Source organism: Homo sapiens, chromosome 2 (assembly GCF_000001405.40).
Source record: "Homo sapiens chromosome 2, GRCh38.p14 Primary Assembly".
Classification (NCBI taxonomy): Eukaryota; Metazoa; Chordata; class Mammalia; order Primates; family Hominidae; genus Homo; species Homo sapiens.
This window is the reverse complement of record NC_000002.12, coordinates 12,663,513-12,679,958: the sequence shown is the minus strand read 5'-3', so window position 1 is coordinate 12,679,958 and position 16,446 is coordinate 12,663,513. Positions and strand designations below refer to the sequence as shown.

Here is a 16,446-nt window from a genome sequence, read left to right as displayed (position 1 = left end):
AGGAGCTCCCTCCATTGACCAGCCGTCCTTGCCCTGGGCTAGTTGTGCGAATAACCTGGCCTAAGGACCCTGGATGAGAATGGCATGACATGCATCCCTTCCAGATGAGGTGACCTCCCAACACACTCTGCTCTCCATCTGCCAGCTGATGACAGTAGCTCAGCTCCTGCCAGAAAATGGTGGGAATGGTGCAGGCACATAATAGAAACAGCAGAGGTCCCTTGGCAACCACCTAGAGGACAGCTACTTTGTGGAGTGCTGCCCAAGGGAGTCATACACCTGTGTGGTGAGTGAGGAACAAGCTTTGGCCACAGAAGCCACTGTCAATTTTGTGGTTATTTGTAAACAGGTCATTCATCCTGCAAATACATTCATCTATAAGTACACGTGCTGGGTATCATGCTAAGCACAGGGTTTATAATGATGAATAAGACAAGCCTAGAACTTGCCCACTGGGAGCCCGTAGCTTAGCAGGACAGACAGATTTGACTCAGCTCTCGTGGGATGTCCGCAAGGTTCTGAAGAGGAATTATGCAGAGAGAGAATGGGAGCTCAGACTGTGGTGTCGAAGGTGAGGTACCAGTGCGACTGGAGCCAGCCTGAGGTTCCAGATGGATTCCCTGAGCAAGTAACATCTGAGCTAAGATCTGAAGGATGACGGCACTGGAGAGTGGAAGGGGGGAAGCTTTCAGGATCAGGGGCTGTGTGTACGGTGCCCAGGCTGAGTGGGGGAACTGGGGACACTGAAGGAAGGCCGATAGGGTCACCTGCGTGTGCAGGAAATTTAGTACAGTGCCTTGCTCATAATAGGGATTAATAAATGTTTGCCTAATATATCACTACATGAATGAACGTACCATTTAACTAAAAATTGAAAAAGATCAAAGGAAACAGAAGCAAGAAAATGAATAAAAATTTGGGGGTAAAGGGTGGCTTCTCAAATAAAAAAAATCACAAATCTATATCTATACAAAAAGAGGTATATGAGGAGTGTCTCTATTTAGTATCTCCCTCAATCCCAACCCCATTGCGGTTAGAGGGAGGCAATGCAAAAGGCTTTCCTAATCTATTTTTTATGACTTGAAGCTATCAGGGGCCTAGGCTGTATTTCCACTCCAGTTAGAGGGATCCTCTAGAGCCTGAGTCTCTCTCTCTGTAGGCACTGGGAAGCAAAATCTGATTCACAAGCAGAGGAGAGGAGAGTTTGCTTTTCACATATTCTACAGAATTGAAAAAAATTGATTGGTGGATCTTTATGAAAAATCTGGGCAGGTGTTTGAGAGAAGATACAGCAATCTATTTCTAGTCTCCCACACTGCCACAATGGAGTAACCCCCTGTGCTATTTGGTGATTAATGATCACATAGTTTATATTTTATAACATAAACCCTCAGAGTTTCCTTTATGTAATGACAATAGACTATCCACAGCTACCTTTGTGGAACCTAAAAATGTCATTGCTTGGGGCCAGATGTAATGTGCAATAAATAATTTAACAAGAAAGATATCTTCATTCTATTTACAGTAAGCTAGAATTCATCTCCGTGGTCAATGTGAAACACCACTTAGTGGATAGGCAAATTCCAACTATAACTCCAGTGTAACCCGATTCATACTGAAAGGCCTCCAACAATTCCAAAGATATTTTTATATACATCTTGGAAGTTCTTGGGCCCTCAACATTAGCATATGTCTTCTTTTTTCTCCTGGCTTTATTTTTTTTACTCCAAATTAATTCAGCCCTTGATATGCATGCCTATTTGTTTGTATCTTTGAATGCATGTCTCACCTTCTAAAATGCTTTGTATAGAAGCTGTGGCATCTTATTCCCTAGCTGTGATGTTAACGTTATATGACTAAAGAGCTTGCAGATTCCACGTGCTCACCATAATAATTCAAATAGGAAGTAAATATATGGAAACCAAGCTTCAGAGGGCTCTAGACATTCTCAAGGGGACCTAATTGGTGCTCTCTTACGGTCAAAATATTTAATAAGCACCTGTTACATTCAAGATGTTGTAGTTACAATGGGCACTGGGTTATGATGCTGGCAAAGTCAGAGGTTGCCCTTGACCTCATCAAATTTACATTGCACTGGGAAAGACAGCCATTGGCTGCAAGTGATTTTGTAACAGCTGTCGCTGGGATTGCAGAGGTGCACAAGGTAACTGCAAACATGGAGTCAAGTGGCCTGGTGAGTACTGGAGGCCAGGGAAAGCCTCTCTGGGGAAGTGGCATGCAAAGTTGGAGTTAATTTAGTCCATTTTGAGTAAAGGGACTAGCAAGTGCAAAGGCCCTGCAGCAGGACCCGCTTGAGCACTGAAAGAAGATCTGCATTAAGTGGCAGAGGTGTTCTACAAATCCATGCCTTTTGATGTCAACTGTCATACTCTTTCCCTGTTATAATGAAGGGATCTGGGAGCATTTGCCCTGGTTGTGGCCTGAGAAGATGACCTCTACCTTTCAGAAAAAAAGGTTTTTTCACTCTTGAGCCACAGACTACTTTGGAGCATGACAGACAACTCATAACAATTCTTGGAAAACACACCCAGGGCCTCCTTAATTAATGGCAAATGACAGTAGTGTCTATTTCTTGGAATGGAAGGGAAGCAATAATGAGAAAAATCCACTGAGTAATATTAACTCACATTTTGATAGCACTTTCCTATATAATTGTTCTTCAGTCTTTCAACAATCGTGGGAATGCATACAACCATCATCATTTTGTACTTGAGGTTACTGATCTTTGGAAGATAAAGTTGCTTGCCCAAGAGACTCAACTGTTAAGAAGCAAGACTTGAATCTAAGTTTTTTGTCTCAACTATTGTATTTTCTCGAATCTAGCTTGAATCATTGATTACACCCATTGCAACTCTGTGACATGCAGTGAATTACTTAACATCTCTGCACCTCAGTGTTTTTCTCTGTTAAATGGAGATAGTGATAATACTGATTCATAGGATTCGAGTGATGACTAAATCAGTTCACATAGGTTCATATAGACTTGGAACAGTGCCTAGGACAAGGTAAAAGCTATACAATATTTGGCCATGTTATTGATTCTTCTTGTTATTATTACCTGTCTCCGGAACAACTTGGTTTGATATTTTAATTTTATATGAATAGCATTTGACCCGTCTATCAGCTTATCCTGAAACTAATATAAGTAGATAATTTCACCAACAAAGGTGTTCTTTTTGATAAATATAAACAATTAAAATTGGATTAATGGACCTTGAACTTCAAAAGAGTCAGGAGCCTTTAGGTTAAAACAATTGCTCCCTTTTCTAACAAACCTGTCAGCCACAACACAAATAGTTCATTAGTGTCTTTCTTCCTTTCTTTCTCTTTCTCTCTTTTGCTTTCTTTCTCTCACTCTCTTTCTTTATCTTTCTATTTCTCTCTCTCTCTCTCTCTCTCTCTTTCTTTCTTTTTTTCCTTCATATAGCATTATTGAGCACCTACAGTGTGTCAGGTACCATTCTAGGTACAACAATGAACACAACAGGCAAAATTCCTGTCTTTATAAGGCTTACATTCTAGTTAGAGGGATAAAGAAAGAAATAAGAAAATAAGGAGTACAATGCACACTACATTACATGATGATAAGGGCTTTGGAAAGAAAGAAAACAGAAAGGGGGAATGAGGGGTGCAGGGGGAGGGCATGTTAAGTAAGATGATTAGCGAAAGCCTCACTTAGAAGGTGACTTAGAGAGTGGCCCACGTAGCTGCTGCGTTCATAGCATGCTAGGCAGACGATTTTACATGTTCTCTAATTGTTTCATATTGATTTCTTGGAGGAAAGAGCCATACCTGACACTTGATTAATTAGTGATTTTCATCCATTTATTAAGCCTTTTGTGATTACGTGCTTTGTTCCAAGCTCTGCCCTGGATACCATGGCTTTTGATAAACGAGAGATTATCCTGGCAATTACTATATGAGTCACAGTGCAGCTGGGGAGAGGAAAAGCGAGTCCACAATGACCATGCCGTGCAATAAGGTCTCTAGCTCAGAGCAGTATGAGAACGAAGAGTGATCATCCCAAATACCAGGGTGAGAAGGAGAGGGTCAGGACCTCAGGCCTGCAGAAGAGGCTCAGAGGAAGTGACAATCAAATGAGCCTAAGTAAAGGAGGGAAAGTTGATCAGGTATGGCGTTCCATGAAGGGGAGCCGGTATGCTTAGTGACAGGTACAGGGGTGTCCTCTGCTGGCAGAGCAGAGGGTGGGAGGGGTGTGGTGGGAAAGAGGCTGGAAGGCTAGCAGAGCAGGGCCAGAGCTCCTGGGACCCACACACAACAATGAGGGCTGTGCCCTTTATCCTGGACCAGGAAGGGCCACATGAGGACTTTGAGAAGAGTGGGCGGGGTCGTATCTGTTACTTAAGATGACTAATTCCATAGCTGTGAGCAGGAGGAAGGACTGACTTTCTAATAGCACCAGATTGTGAGACTAAAGATAAGGAGACCAGCTCACAGTGTGAGGGACGAGAAAGCCTGCTCAACAGAGGAACATAGGAGGAGGGGTTGGCTTCTAGGCTTCTCGATGTGGCAAGGAGATGGATTCAGGAGGTCTTGATGACCTCCTGGCTCGGAGCGAGAGGGAGGAGGCTAGAAAGGGGCTCATGCTTCCGACAGGGGTGAACAATAGGGATGATATCATTGCTGACCAAGATAGGAACTCTGACAGTACTTGGGTCAAACTTGGACATGCTAATTGAGAAGTTCTCCAGGGACATCTACAAGGGAGTTGAAGATGGCTTGGGGTAGATTTGGGTCAGGAGCCTATTTCCACCAGCAGCATCCACTGTGGGCCGTCCCTGTTCCCAACAGAAGCAGATTAGCCTGGCTTGGGATCTGTTCCTGGAGTTCCAAGACTTCCAAAGGCCCTGAAATGCAGTGTTCCCACAGCCTGGAGACAGAGGCAGCTTGTCTTAAAAGTCTAGACATTGCCCTCATGATAATAATTTGTAGATCCTTAGTCACATGCCAGACACTATTTAAAGAACTTGATATTAAGTTTCACATTTTGACCTTCAAATGTTCTCCAAATGGCAGGTACTCATATTATTTCTATTTTATAGATAAGGAAACTAAGTCTCAGGGAGGTGCATTAACTTGTCCAAGGTCATCCAACTGATAGCAGCTCCAGGACTTCAACCCTGGTCATGTGGCAGGGCCTTAGTCGGCATTTTTCACCACTCGGGGTTTTGTTGTTGCTGTGTTGTGTTTCAGTTTTTCCACAGCTCTAATTGAAAAGAGGGCAGGTGGAAACTTTATGTGAAAATAAGCTATTCTTGAGGAAATATTCATTATAGAAAGAGAGCCTAAATAGAGACTGGTCTTGTTTAAAGTGGATTCAATAATAAACTCATGGATACAGGAAGAGATGCCTTGAATTTCTTCCAGGCTCCCCAGTGCCCTACATTTATTCACCACCCGACGTTTCCTGAGCATCAGCAGGCAAATGGAGCCATGATCAAAACAGACGGCACCTCCACCCTCAAGGAGCTTCCCCAAATGAGAAACCAAAAACGAAGCTCCTGAATTGGCCCCAAACTGAGCACTTTTTGACCACATTTTCGAAGCTAAAATCTCAAAAACAACTTGCCTTCATTGTGCCTGGTAACAAAAGACCCAATGCCCTTCTCAACGGCTTCCTGTAGAAGATCACTCTCAGAATCCCAGGAGCCTCTGATAAGCAGGCAGATGCAGCAGGGAAAAGAATCCCTGAAATGAAAAGGAGATGACATTTAAACGAGTAGTGGTTGTTTCAGCATCATTAATAATAGCTAGCACTTTCATTAAACTTCAAAGGTGATAAAGATGAACAGCATCTCACAGCAATGCTGTAAGATTGTCATCCCATTTAATGGATGAGAGCAGTGAAGCTCACAGATGTAAAGTGATTTGCTGGTTAGTAGCAAAACCTGGACTCAGATGTCAGGATTGCACCTCCAGGCCCCTTCCCCTGTTGGGGTACCTGGCTGTTTTTCTGTTTCAAAAAAATCTTGTTGAAGTTGCTCTCTTTTGAGATGCTTTGAGAGAATACTGAAGCAGAAGGAAGCTTGTGAAAGGCTTTTGTAGGTTTAGTAGGGAATTATTATCTTTTACATTTCAGCTTCCATGGCAGCAGCTGCAGCATCAGACATGGAAAGCAAAGATGGTTGTAAACCAGTTGTCTTTTCTACCACTTCAGAGGGTAAAGAATGGGAAAATATCAACTCCCTGGGCTTTATTGTTTAAAATTTTTATTTTTTGGAGGAGACTGGTTGCCTTGCTTTTAGGTCGATATTCTCTTGATGAGGTATTTCCCATTCCAGGAAGCTTCATGGCTTAATTCAGAAGCAAAGGCTGTGATGATACCTCCTGGATTGGCAAAGTAGGAGCTTGGATTTTCCTGGAGTCCCCACCAGCAGAACTAAAACTGGCTGGAGTTTCTCCAGCCAAGATCTGCCACGTCACGTACCATCTGTGCCTGGATACATGCTCCCCTTGGACCTCAAGCATATTTTTCCTGTAACCCAGTGGCACCAGAAGGAAGGCTTTCCCCTCATAGCAGGGCAGAGGCCCACCCCTCAGTTACAGTCACATGAGCCAATGTCCAAGGCACTGATTATGCTGCTTCCATATTCACAGCAAATTTGCTTTACCCAGAATTGGGTTCCTGAGAACAAAGAAAAATAAGAGCTCTCATTTTTTCCTTTAAAAAGTGTGGAGTTTTTTTTTTTTTTGTCTTTTTCTTGCTAGTGTTCGTGAGTACATATACATGCTTGCTGAGATGGAAAATCTGGAAGGGCTCCCAAATTGTGTTATACTCCAACCCACACACCAGGAAAATCCTTAGGGAAACAGTGAGAGGGTGTCAGGGGGCGTTGTTTCATTCAGAGAGAACCTGGTTATAGCATATGAAATGTATCATTCCATATTATTTTGCTAAAGATTCTGCACCCAAATATACACTCAGCAAAGTCCTCCTGGTGGGTTATGTTCCAGAAAATAGGGTGATTCCCCTTCCCTTTTCCTGTTCCGTCACTGACGCAACCCCACAGCCGAGCGGTGTGCAGCCCTCCCCATTGGCAAGAATTCTCTGCACACCCTCTATGTGCCTGGCAAAGTGATAACTGCCACAAGCTAGTTAAGAAATGGAGCCCACAGACCCCATAAACAGGATTACCATTGGGACAGAACTGTGCCATGCATCTTCATAAAGTCATTAAACCAGCTGCGAGTCCCTTGAGGACACGACTCTCATTGTATTTGCATTTATACTCCTAACACCTGAGGTGGGAAGTGGTTTCTAAGACATTCAATGACTATTCCTTGAATAAAAATATAGTGAATGAGAACTTAGCATGATAATGTTATATTTCATATAATTTTCTAGTAGTACATTAAAATGTCAAAATAGGGGGTCTAATTAGAGTATAGGATGGTTTAACATAGGACACATCATAATTCACAAATACAGTAGGTCAGTTGATTTCTCTCTCTCTCTCTCTCTCGGTTTCATATATTTATTCACTAGACATTTGTTTTGTTAATTATGTACTGTATACTGTGCTTTGTACTGGGGACATAGTGATTAATTACCACCTCCTAACACACATCTTCCTCCTGTCTCCTTCCAAAAAATTCATGCTCAGTTGAGAAGACAGAAAAATAAGCAAGTAATTTCAACTTATAAAAGCAGGTAAGTGCTTTATATATATATATATATATATATATATATATATATATATATATATAAAATCCCTCTCACACACTTACATATTCACATACACACACACACACACACACACACACACACACACACACACACTCATGCTGTGGAAACTAGAGAGCAATACTTGTGACGGAAATATTTGTGGAATGATTCTTAGGCAATGGGATGTTTGAGCTGAATCCTGAAGGGTTATGCAGTATGTTTTCTGGGTACGTTGCTACTGTTCAGGATAGATTTATGTGCACTTGCTTCCCTGCTAGATTGTAATCTGTTGGGAGTGCAGGAACCAAAGGTTATTGAACTTTTTTGTTTCTAATAGAATCTTCCAGAGGCAGCTCTATGAGTCAGTGTGTTGCACTAGAATGAACTGGCATTTGATTCCCACTTTTACTAGTAGTTCTTTAAGCGATTTCTCAAAAACACTTTGAGCCTCAGTTTTCTCATTTAAAATAAGAGATAATTGACATCACCTGCTAGTGTTGATCTTTATGATAATCAAAGGTTATTATTTATGTAAAGCACCTAGAATGAAGACGTAAAGCTATTGGCATATGGTAAATGACAATACCTCCTTTTCTTCATCTTCCTTGGTATTTAGTACATATGGAAAGAGTTGAAATCAAGTAAAAGGGCACAGATTGTGCTGGTATTATTGAGTACTTCTGGTGGTAGTCCAAGTCCTCTTAGAAAGTCCACAGAATAGGAGAAGATATAAGGCCAAGTGTTGTTTCATGGCCAGGACAGGATGGGTAGAGGAACAGAATTATATCCCAATCTTGTAGAATTAGAGAACATGCGACCAGTGAGGATATGTAGTTTCTTTCTAGAGAAGTCCTTATTCCCAGAGCAGGTGGTGCTTTCATTCTATTCCCCATCTACAACACCCACCCTTAATTAGACTCAATTAAATCCTACTCCCCTGGCCTTGTTCAAATTTAATAACACCCTCCAAGATCAAACCCATCCCTAGATGACCTCTTACTCTTTTGGCCTCATCGATATATCTTTTTGTTTCACCCATTTCATACTGAGGGTTAGGGTCAGTCCCGGGCCCACCCCAGACCTACTGAATCAGGAGTGGGAGGATGGGGTCCAAGCAGGTTAAAAGGAAGATTTTACAATGGAGAGAGGCCCTATCCATCGCAATGATTTTCATGTTTTCATCTGAAATAAAAACAAAAACCAAAAACTCAGCTGCAAAATAAAAAGCAATTTCAACTAAATTGACTGTGTGAATGCTCTGTAAAAACTACCAAAAATCCAATTGTTTTTAGAAATATTCCCATTTGTGCTACTAGCTTCCTGGTGCGTGGCCTGCCTGTTGAGGCATTTAATACAGATGCAAAGCTAGGACTGGGGTGCCACTCCTGCTGAGCAAGGTTTGGCTATAAATGGGGCCTTTTCCAAAGCAACTGAGGTTAAGGCCAAAAGAGTAAAGCCATATATGCAAACATCAAATCCAAAAGAGAGAAAGTATGGGGGCCAGTATCAAAATAAACTAGAGGCTAACCTGGAGGAAAGCAAAGTGTAAACAAAGCCAGGGAGCCCAAACTTCCATAGGCCAGAGCCCCCAGAGAATGTGGTCACATCTTTCAGATGACAGGAGAGGTGGTTGAAGGTATAACTAGGGTGTCCAAATAATTTATCATCCAAGATACTTTTGAGAGGGTAAGAGGGTATGATTACTAAGTACACTGAGAAAACAGGAGAAATTGAAGATGTATGTATACCTGGAATGAACAGAGAACATCAAATTTGAAGGTCACCTTATTGGTTCATTGGAGTACGATAAGTAGAATAGAAACACCATTTTTTAACAAAATTTGAGTATACTCGTTTATTGGGTATATGGTTGTTGTAGATTTGTAGAAATTCCACAAATAAAATCTTAATTGATTGGCTTAACATTCAAAGTCTTTCACCCTCAGGCTGTAACTTATGCCTTCTTATACTCTCAGCACCAGCAACATTCAACATTTAGCACCTTTCCGCCAAATTCTTCCTCACTTTTCAATTTTGTCCATCCCTCAAGTTCTAGATCCAGGTCAGTGCTCTCCCCTTCTTCCCCCACATCATGCCTACAGCACTTAGACGTTACCATCTAATGCTCTGCAATCTAGGTTTGTATCTTATTTGCCCTCTGAAAATGTTGAGTAGACATCCACTTTTTCTAAAGTAGTTTGTAAATTAAAATTATGTACTAAGGCATGATTTGTGATCAACTTTGCAGCAACGTACCTTCATAATTCTTCTATGATGTTGTGTGGACACCTTCTACTCGGCCCTGATTCAATCCCTGAGATTCTTCCTATCTTCCTCCCCAGTTGTTCTGCCAGACCCTGCGAGCCTTATTCTGTCCTGTTTGCAGATCTCATACTTCCTTCACCTTCAATGGTGTTTAATGACCTGTCTTTCCTATTGCCTGGGGGCTCCTCAAAGGTGACAAGTCAGTCTGGTTAAAATTTGCAATATCTCCCTCACACTCCCAACCCCATGCCTAGAAAAGGGCCTGTCATACAGTAAATATTCTGATGAATTAAATTAATGATATAATTTACATTTCAATTTTACCTGTAGAAAATGGTGATGGGGAACCACATCATCAAATTTCTTTTCTTTTAGAAAACTAATTGTAAGTTTTATGTGTTGCAGGGGCTGCGGGAATTGGAATGATAATAGTTTGCTAAATTTGGAAATAAGTTCATTGATATGCTGTAGAATGAATAATTTAAAAAAATAATTAGAGTTCTTCACTTTTAAATTTAATAATATATAGTTGCTGACAAAGAGAGGTTAGAAATGTTAATTAAATCCAAGTCTAGATATACAATCAGATAGCTATTATATAAGCTTAATTATTTAACTTTTTTTAGTTATCTGATGCTGACTCACGTACAGCATTAGCTGTCTTTCAAATCACAAACTCTTCTGCCTGTCAAACTTTTCAGTGCCTGGAGACATTTCTATTTTATCTGCCTTCTCTTGTCAGACTCTGTGGTTTTCTCTGTCTTCCAATTAAGCACTAACACTGATTCTTGGATAATTCGTTCAAGTGCATATGAACTCAGTTGTCTAGGAAGGAATTTTAATGACCAGGGAATTCAATTCTCATTTTCTTCTTTTTATCTCAGAATATTAGGATAGACAAAGGTTTCTGTGAAACTATACGTGACTCAATGCCCAATGCCTGGCCACATTTGCTGGGAGGGAAGAGAAAAATGAAGCTCTCATGGTAGTTCGAAGTTCAGAGAAATGTAGATCTTCAAGCAATTTGAGAGATTCACTTGTGCAGCCTCCTCTTGCAGGGGGCTGTGACCCCTTGAAGGAAAGGTCGCTGCCCAGGCTCACACAGGGTTCCTAATTCACAGTCTGGTGATTATGTCCAATCATCTGTTACTTTGGGGTCCACAAATGTGGGTGAAGCCACTGCACATTCCAAACAGACAAATTCAGGCGGGAAAGAGCTGCAATATTGGGCATCTTACTTTGAGATCTTCTTGAATTTTCCCTTCTTCATCTTTCATTGTGTCTAGAATCCCCTCTGGAGTAGTGGTCGATGATTCAGACAGGGCACAGATTTTAAATCAAAGCTCAGAAGAAAACAAGTCAATTGAAACCCAAATGGACTGCAGCCGTGTTGAGAGCTTGCTTTATCTCTAGTCCTCCTGGAGCTGACAACTTACAATTTTCATAAAGGTATTTTAATCTCATGTAGCCAACTGACAAGACTTTTTGTTGAAAGAAGATGCTTTAATTTAAATATTTCAAACCAGATTTGGCCTGAAAGCAGTGAACAGCAAGGCTTATCCACGTATGCCTGATTAATGGCCGAGGTTCCTTGAGCAGGAATTACTTAGAGAAATGTAGGTAATACTAAACCTGACTCCCTGTGAATGGAAAACTCTACTGGGGACATTTCTGAATGAGACCAGAAACGGATGCTTAAATAAAACTAAACATACATCTTCTTAAAGCCACTCCTATTTTTTTTAATGAATCCTTCAGTTTTATAAAGACAGCTCCTGAGTCAACCTTTTTAGGTGTCTTTTTTTAAAAAAAACTGAGACAGGTTCTTACTGTATCATCCTGGCTGGAGTGCAGTAGTGTGATCATAGCTCACTGCAGCCTCAAACTCCAGGTCTCAAATGATTCTCCCACCAGAGCCTCCCAAGTAGCTGGGACCACGGGTACACACCACTATGTTGGCTAATTTATTTTATTGTATTTGTTGCAGAGAAGGGTCTTGCTATGTTGCCCAGGCTGGTCTTGAACTCCTGGGCTCAAGTGATCCACCTGCCTTGGGCTCCCAAAGTGCTGAGATTATAGGCATAAGCCACTGTGCCTGGCCAGAGATACCTTTTACTGAGCATCTATTACAAGCTAAGCTGTCTGTTACTTCTTTATATGAGCACAAATATTTTTAATAACCCTTGAGGTGAATATTTCTTTCCTATTGTATAAATTAAGAAGCTGAGGTTTAGTGAGATTAAGTAACTGTCCCACAGTGAAGAGATATAGACCTCGATAAACTGGGGCTCAAACTCAAATCTGACCTTTCTCCTATGTCAGCCTTCCTCTCACCAAATGATGCTCTCTTAGAGCTTCCTCTGAGATGCATCCTATCAGCTCTGAAATTTCAGTTCAATGCTTGTTCCTCCAGAGAGCCCCAGAATGCGTATTTGAGCCATTTATGTGTCACATAGCACACGCATTAGCAAATCATTGATTTATTCACTGTCTATGGAGTGCTTGTGTGTTCTAGACACTGTGCTAGGATCCAGAGATGGGTCAGAAATGTTTTCTGTCTTCAAGGAGTTCAGTGCCTTAAATTTCCATTTTCTTCCCCCTTAAGCTGGATATTCTCTTGTACTGTGTTTGGCACAAAGTATGCGCCCAGCCAAAGTTTGTAAATTGACAGGCCTGCATAGGAGCAGATATACTAAATCTATGTTAATTGTGTATATTTCTGGTCTCACGAGCATTGCGAAATGAAGAGCAATTTCTCTTTGTTTTCTGTGTGACCTTGAACAAATCACTTAATGTCTTTAAATTTAATTGCTTCCAGTGCACAATAATGCAGTACCACCCATCACACTTAAGATTATAGGTAAAATTAAATGAAAGAATGAAGCAAAAGTGCCTCATAGAGAGTATACAAACTGAAGCATCACCATGATGATCAAGGTTGCAAAGGGACCACAGAATCAGGGGACTTTAGAATCAGAAAAACCATGAAGTCTTCTCTTTTAGTAATATTGAAATATTTTTTTAAAGGGTAGCATTCCTTTTCATACTAAATGTTATCAAAATACCAATAGCATAAAACAGAAAAACATGGACCCAGGATTATCTCCTAGAGACTTTACTTTGTAACTCACTGATGGACCAAATCTAGTCTTTGTGGTTTGCTGATTAGAAAACTGAGTTCCAGACAGATTATATGGTGGTTCCAAGGAGGCAACACATTACATGAATGATGAAAGACTGAATGCTTTACCCCTAAGAGCAGGAACAAGGCAAGGATGTACATTTCCATCATTTGTATCCAAGTACTGGAATTTCCAGCCACTGCAATAAGGCAAGAAAAATAAATAAAAGCCTAACAAATTGGAAAAACAAAACAAAACAAAAAGCTATTTTATTTGCAGATGATATGATTTTCTCTGAAGAAAATCTCAAGGAATCTACAAAAATTGAAAAACAACAACAACAACCACCAAACAACCCCCTCTTCCAGTTTCCAGAACTAATACATGATTTCATCAAGTCACAGGACACAAGATCAACACATTAAAAAAAAATCACATTTACCTATACTAATAATAAAAATGTGGAAAACAAATTGAAAAAGCCAATCTCAAAAGATTATATACTGTATGATTCCATGTATAGAAGATTCCTGAAATGACAAAATTTTAGAAATGGAGAACATATTCATTGGCCGGGGTTGAGGAGGGGTGGGTTGGGTCGGATGCGAATGTAGCTATCCAGGGCAACAGGAGGGATCCTTGTGGTGATGGAAATGTTCTGTATCTTGCTTTCATCAGTGTCAGTGTTCTAGTTGGGTTATTGCACTATAGTTTTGTAACATGTTACCACTGGGAAAACTGGGTACAGGTTCATGAGAGCTCTCTGTATTACTTCTTATAATTGCATGTGAATCTAGAATTATCTCAAATAAAAAATTAATTTAAAAATATAATGTATAAATGTGATATAAAATTATACAATAGAAATATTAATTATAGTTTTGTTATCACTGTTACTAGTAAAATTAACATTCAAGAGAGTAATTGTAGACAGAGTAAACATTAAGTAAAAAATGAGAAAGAATTAAAAACACAGATACCATCAGCAAGCCTGGTATTTCTGATATGTAGGTTGGAGGTGGAGAGAGCCAGCCTGGAGAGGTTTGGTGCAGTCTTCTGTGCTCTCCTAAGGATGCCTGGGATATACGTGGTTCATGGAAAGACAGGCTGGTGACAGGTGGGCTAAGGGTACCTCTGCTTATATAAGCCACATTAAGAATGCTAATAAAGCTTGCCTAGGCATTTCCCCTCTGAAGTAGAGGAAGGAAGGTGGGAATTAACAGAGGCACACATGCAAATGCAATACAAGACTTGGCTAGACAGTGCCAGGTCATAGGACAGAAGCCAGGAAGTGTGGGCTTCTTGGAAACAATGAGGAAACACTGGGGCTGTTAAGCAGGGAGTGACCTAAGGAAATGACATTCCACTCTGGCTGTGGTATGGAGAAGAGGGCTGAGCTGGAGTAGGTCTGGAGGCTGGGTCATGGGCCAGGGGTAAGTGCAGAATCCAGGTAAAAAGTGAAAGGGGTCAGATTTGATGCAGGGCAGGAGGTCCCTGTTTCAGGAGAATAAGGCCAGGTTTTTACAGGTGTTTGTCAACAAGCAGAGGAGAAAGTTGGCTCATCTCCTGTGGAGGAGATCACTTGGAGTTTCTTGCAGTGTGGGAGGGAGGAATTTAAAAGGAATCCATTGAGAGGAAGATATTGGGAGAATTAGAAAGAAGCGTGGGTAGTTAATGACTGGGATGCAGAGTTAAGAGGCCAGGTTAATCTCAGACAACACAAACACTCTCTCCTCCTTTGAGATATAGAGAATGCACGAACAATGGAAGAAAATCCTGGGAAAATTTGAAAGTTGATAAAGGAGGCATCAAATGAGATTGAGAGCGTAGGACAAAATTCTACTTCAAACATTCTTGTGATTGCAGAATTCAGCTTTTTCAGAAGTTGCCCAAAATATTTTGATCTGAGATGCTCTGTTCAGATGAAGAAAATATATCACCAGAGAAAGGGCTCCCAGTGGGCTAAGAGAGTTCGTTTTTCTTTTTTTTATAAATTAGTTTACAGCTTGTGACATTAAGAAAATCAATGCCATTTCTTATGGTTACATAGCATTTGCTTAGCTGAATAATTCTCTAGGGAATGAATTTCTTTGTGATGGATTTGATGGAAGACATCATTAATTCAGAAAAGCCTCTTTCTTTACCTGCATAATCTCTTCCAATTCATAAGCTTATATAACACTGATGCCAGAACTTAAGTTTCACTGTTTCCTCTAAGAGATGAAAAAAAATTAGACCAAGGTAAGAGAAAGACGAACTTCGAGGTTACCAATTAAGTCAATAAGGCTAGAATTTGAATTTCCTGGCCACTACAGTATCGAATTTTATTTTATGATTCTTTGAATCAGAAAAATCGTTTGTAAATGACTCCAATTTAATACAGCCACACCCAGATGATGGTTGCTGACTCTCCTCAGTGGGTAAATCTAGGATGAACACCCTCCAGGGTTTCCTGGGGGCTAGACAACAAAGAAATTAGAGCTAATGAGGTCGGAGTTGTTAGGGGCCAAAGTGTAGTTTTGAGAAATGTGGCAGCGTTGTGACACGAGAAAAGCACATGAGGAATGTGTCTTGGGAAGATGAGATGAGGTCAGAAGCGAGGAGAAAGGATGGATGGGATAGGAAGACAGGTGCATAAAAGGCATAAACAGACTCTGAATAGCTTGTGTGTATCAGGCTCCTCTTCTCAATTTTTGAAAAATAACACTTGGTAGACTGTGCAGAAATGGGTGTATGTATTATGTGCCTGAGATTTGCCAAGTTCAGTGATGTAGAAGGGAACAGACAACCTAATTCTAACAGGTGTTAACAGGTGATTCTTTACTCCTGAGGCCCTTTTACTTGCTACATTTGGTGCTGATTTGAGTGAGCCTTGAACACTCTGGGCAAATGGGACTTGACGGAACTCTGCCAGAAATTCACCGAGTGACCTTGGGTATTTCCTTTCCTCTCTCTCTGCGGAGGAAATGAAGGTATAAAACTGGTCCCTTAGGACCTATTAATCTTTGGCATGCTTTGATTGTATCTGGACAAGATGATAAGGCTAAGCACAGGCAGTGAATTCCATGAATCCCACATCCCCTCTCACCCCAGCCCCAAATACTGCAGCCGCCCTTGGGATAAGCTCCAAGTACCGCAAAAGGGCTCCCTATTCTTCCCCTTTGATATTCCCCTGGGGGACAGAGAAGGCCAGCAGCTCCTTCCGTAGCTGCCACAAGGACACATTTTATTTTCTCCTGCTCTTAAAATCCTCAATGCCAGCCCCCTGAGCTGCAGAGAGAAGCCTGCGTGGCTGGCATCACGCAGAAGGGGCCAATGCCTGCCGTCTGCCACTGTCTAATTAGCACGGGA

The 16,446-nt window shown here is 41.1% G+C and overlaps 1 annotated feature.

Moving 5' to 3' along the window:
- Nucleotides 15,865-16,080: a silencer, noted in NCBI's record as "fragment chr2:12804005-12804220 (GRCh37/hg19 assembly coordinates)". NCBI's record gives its function as "represses an EF-1alpha promoter that drives an FKBP-Casp9 reporter gene in an ReSE screen in K562 erythroleukemia cells {active_cell/tissue: K562}" and the evidence as "EXISTENCE:reporter gene assay evidence [ECO:0000049][PMID:32094911]".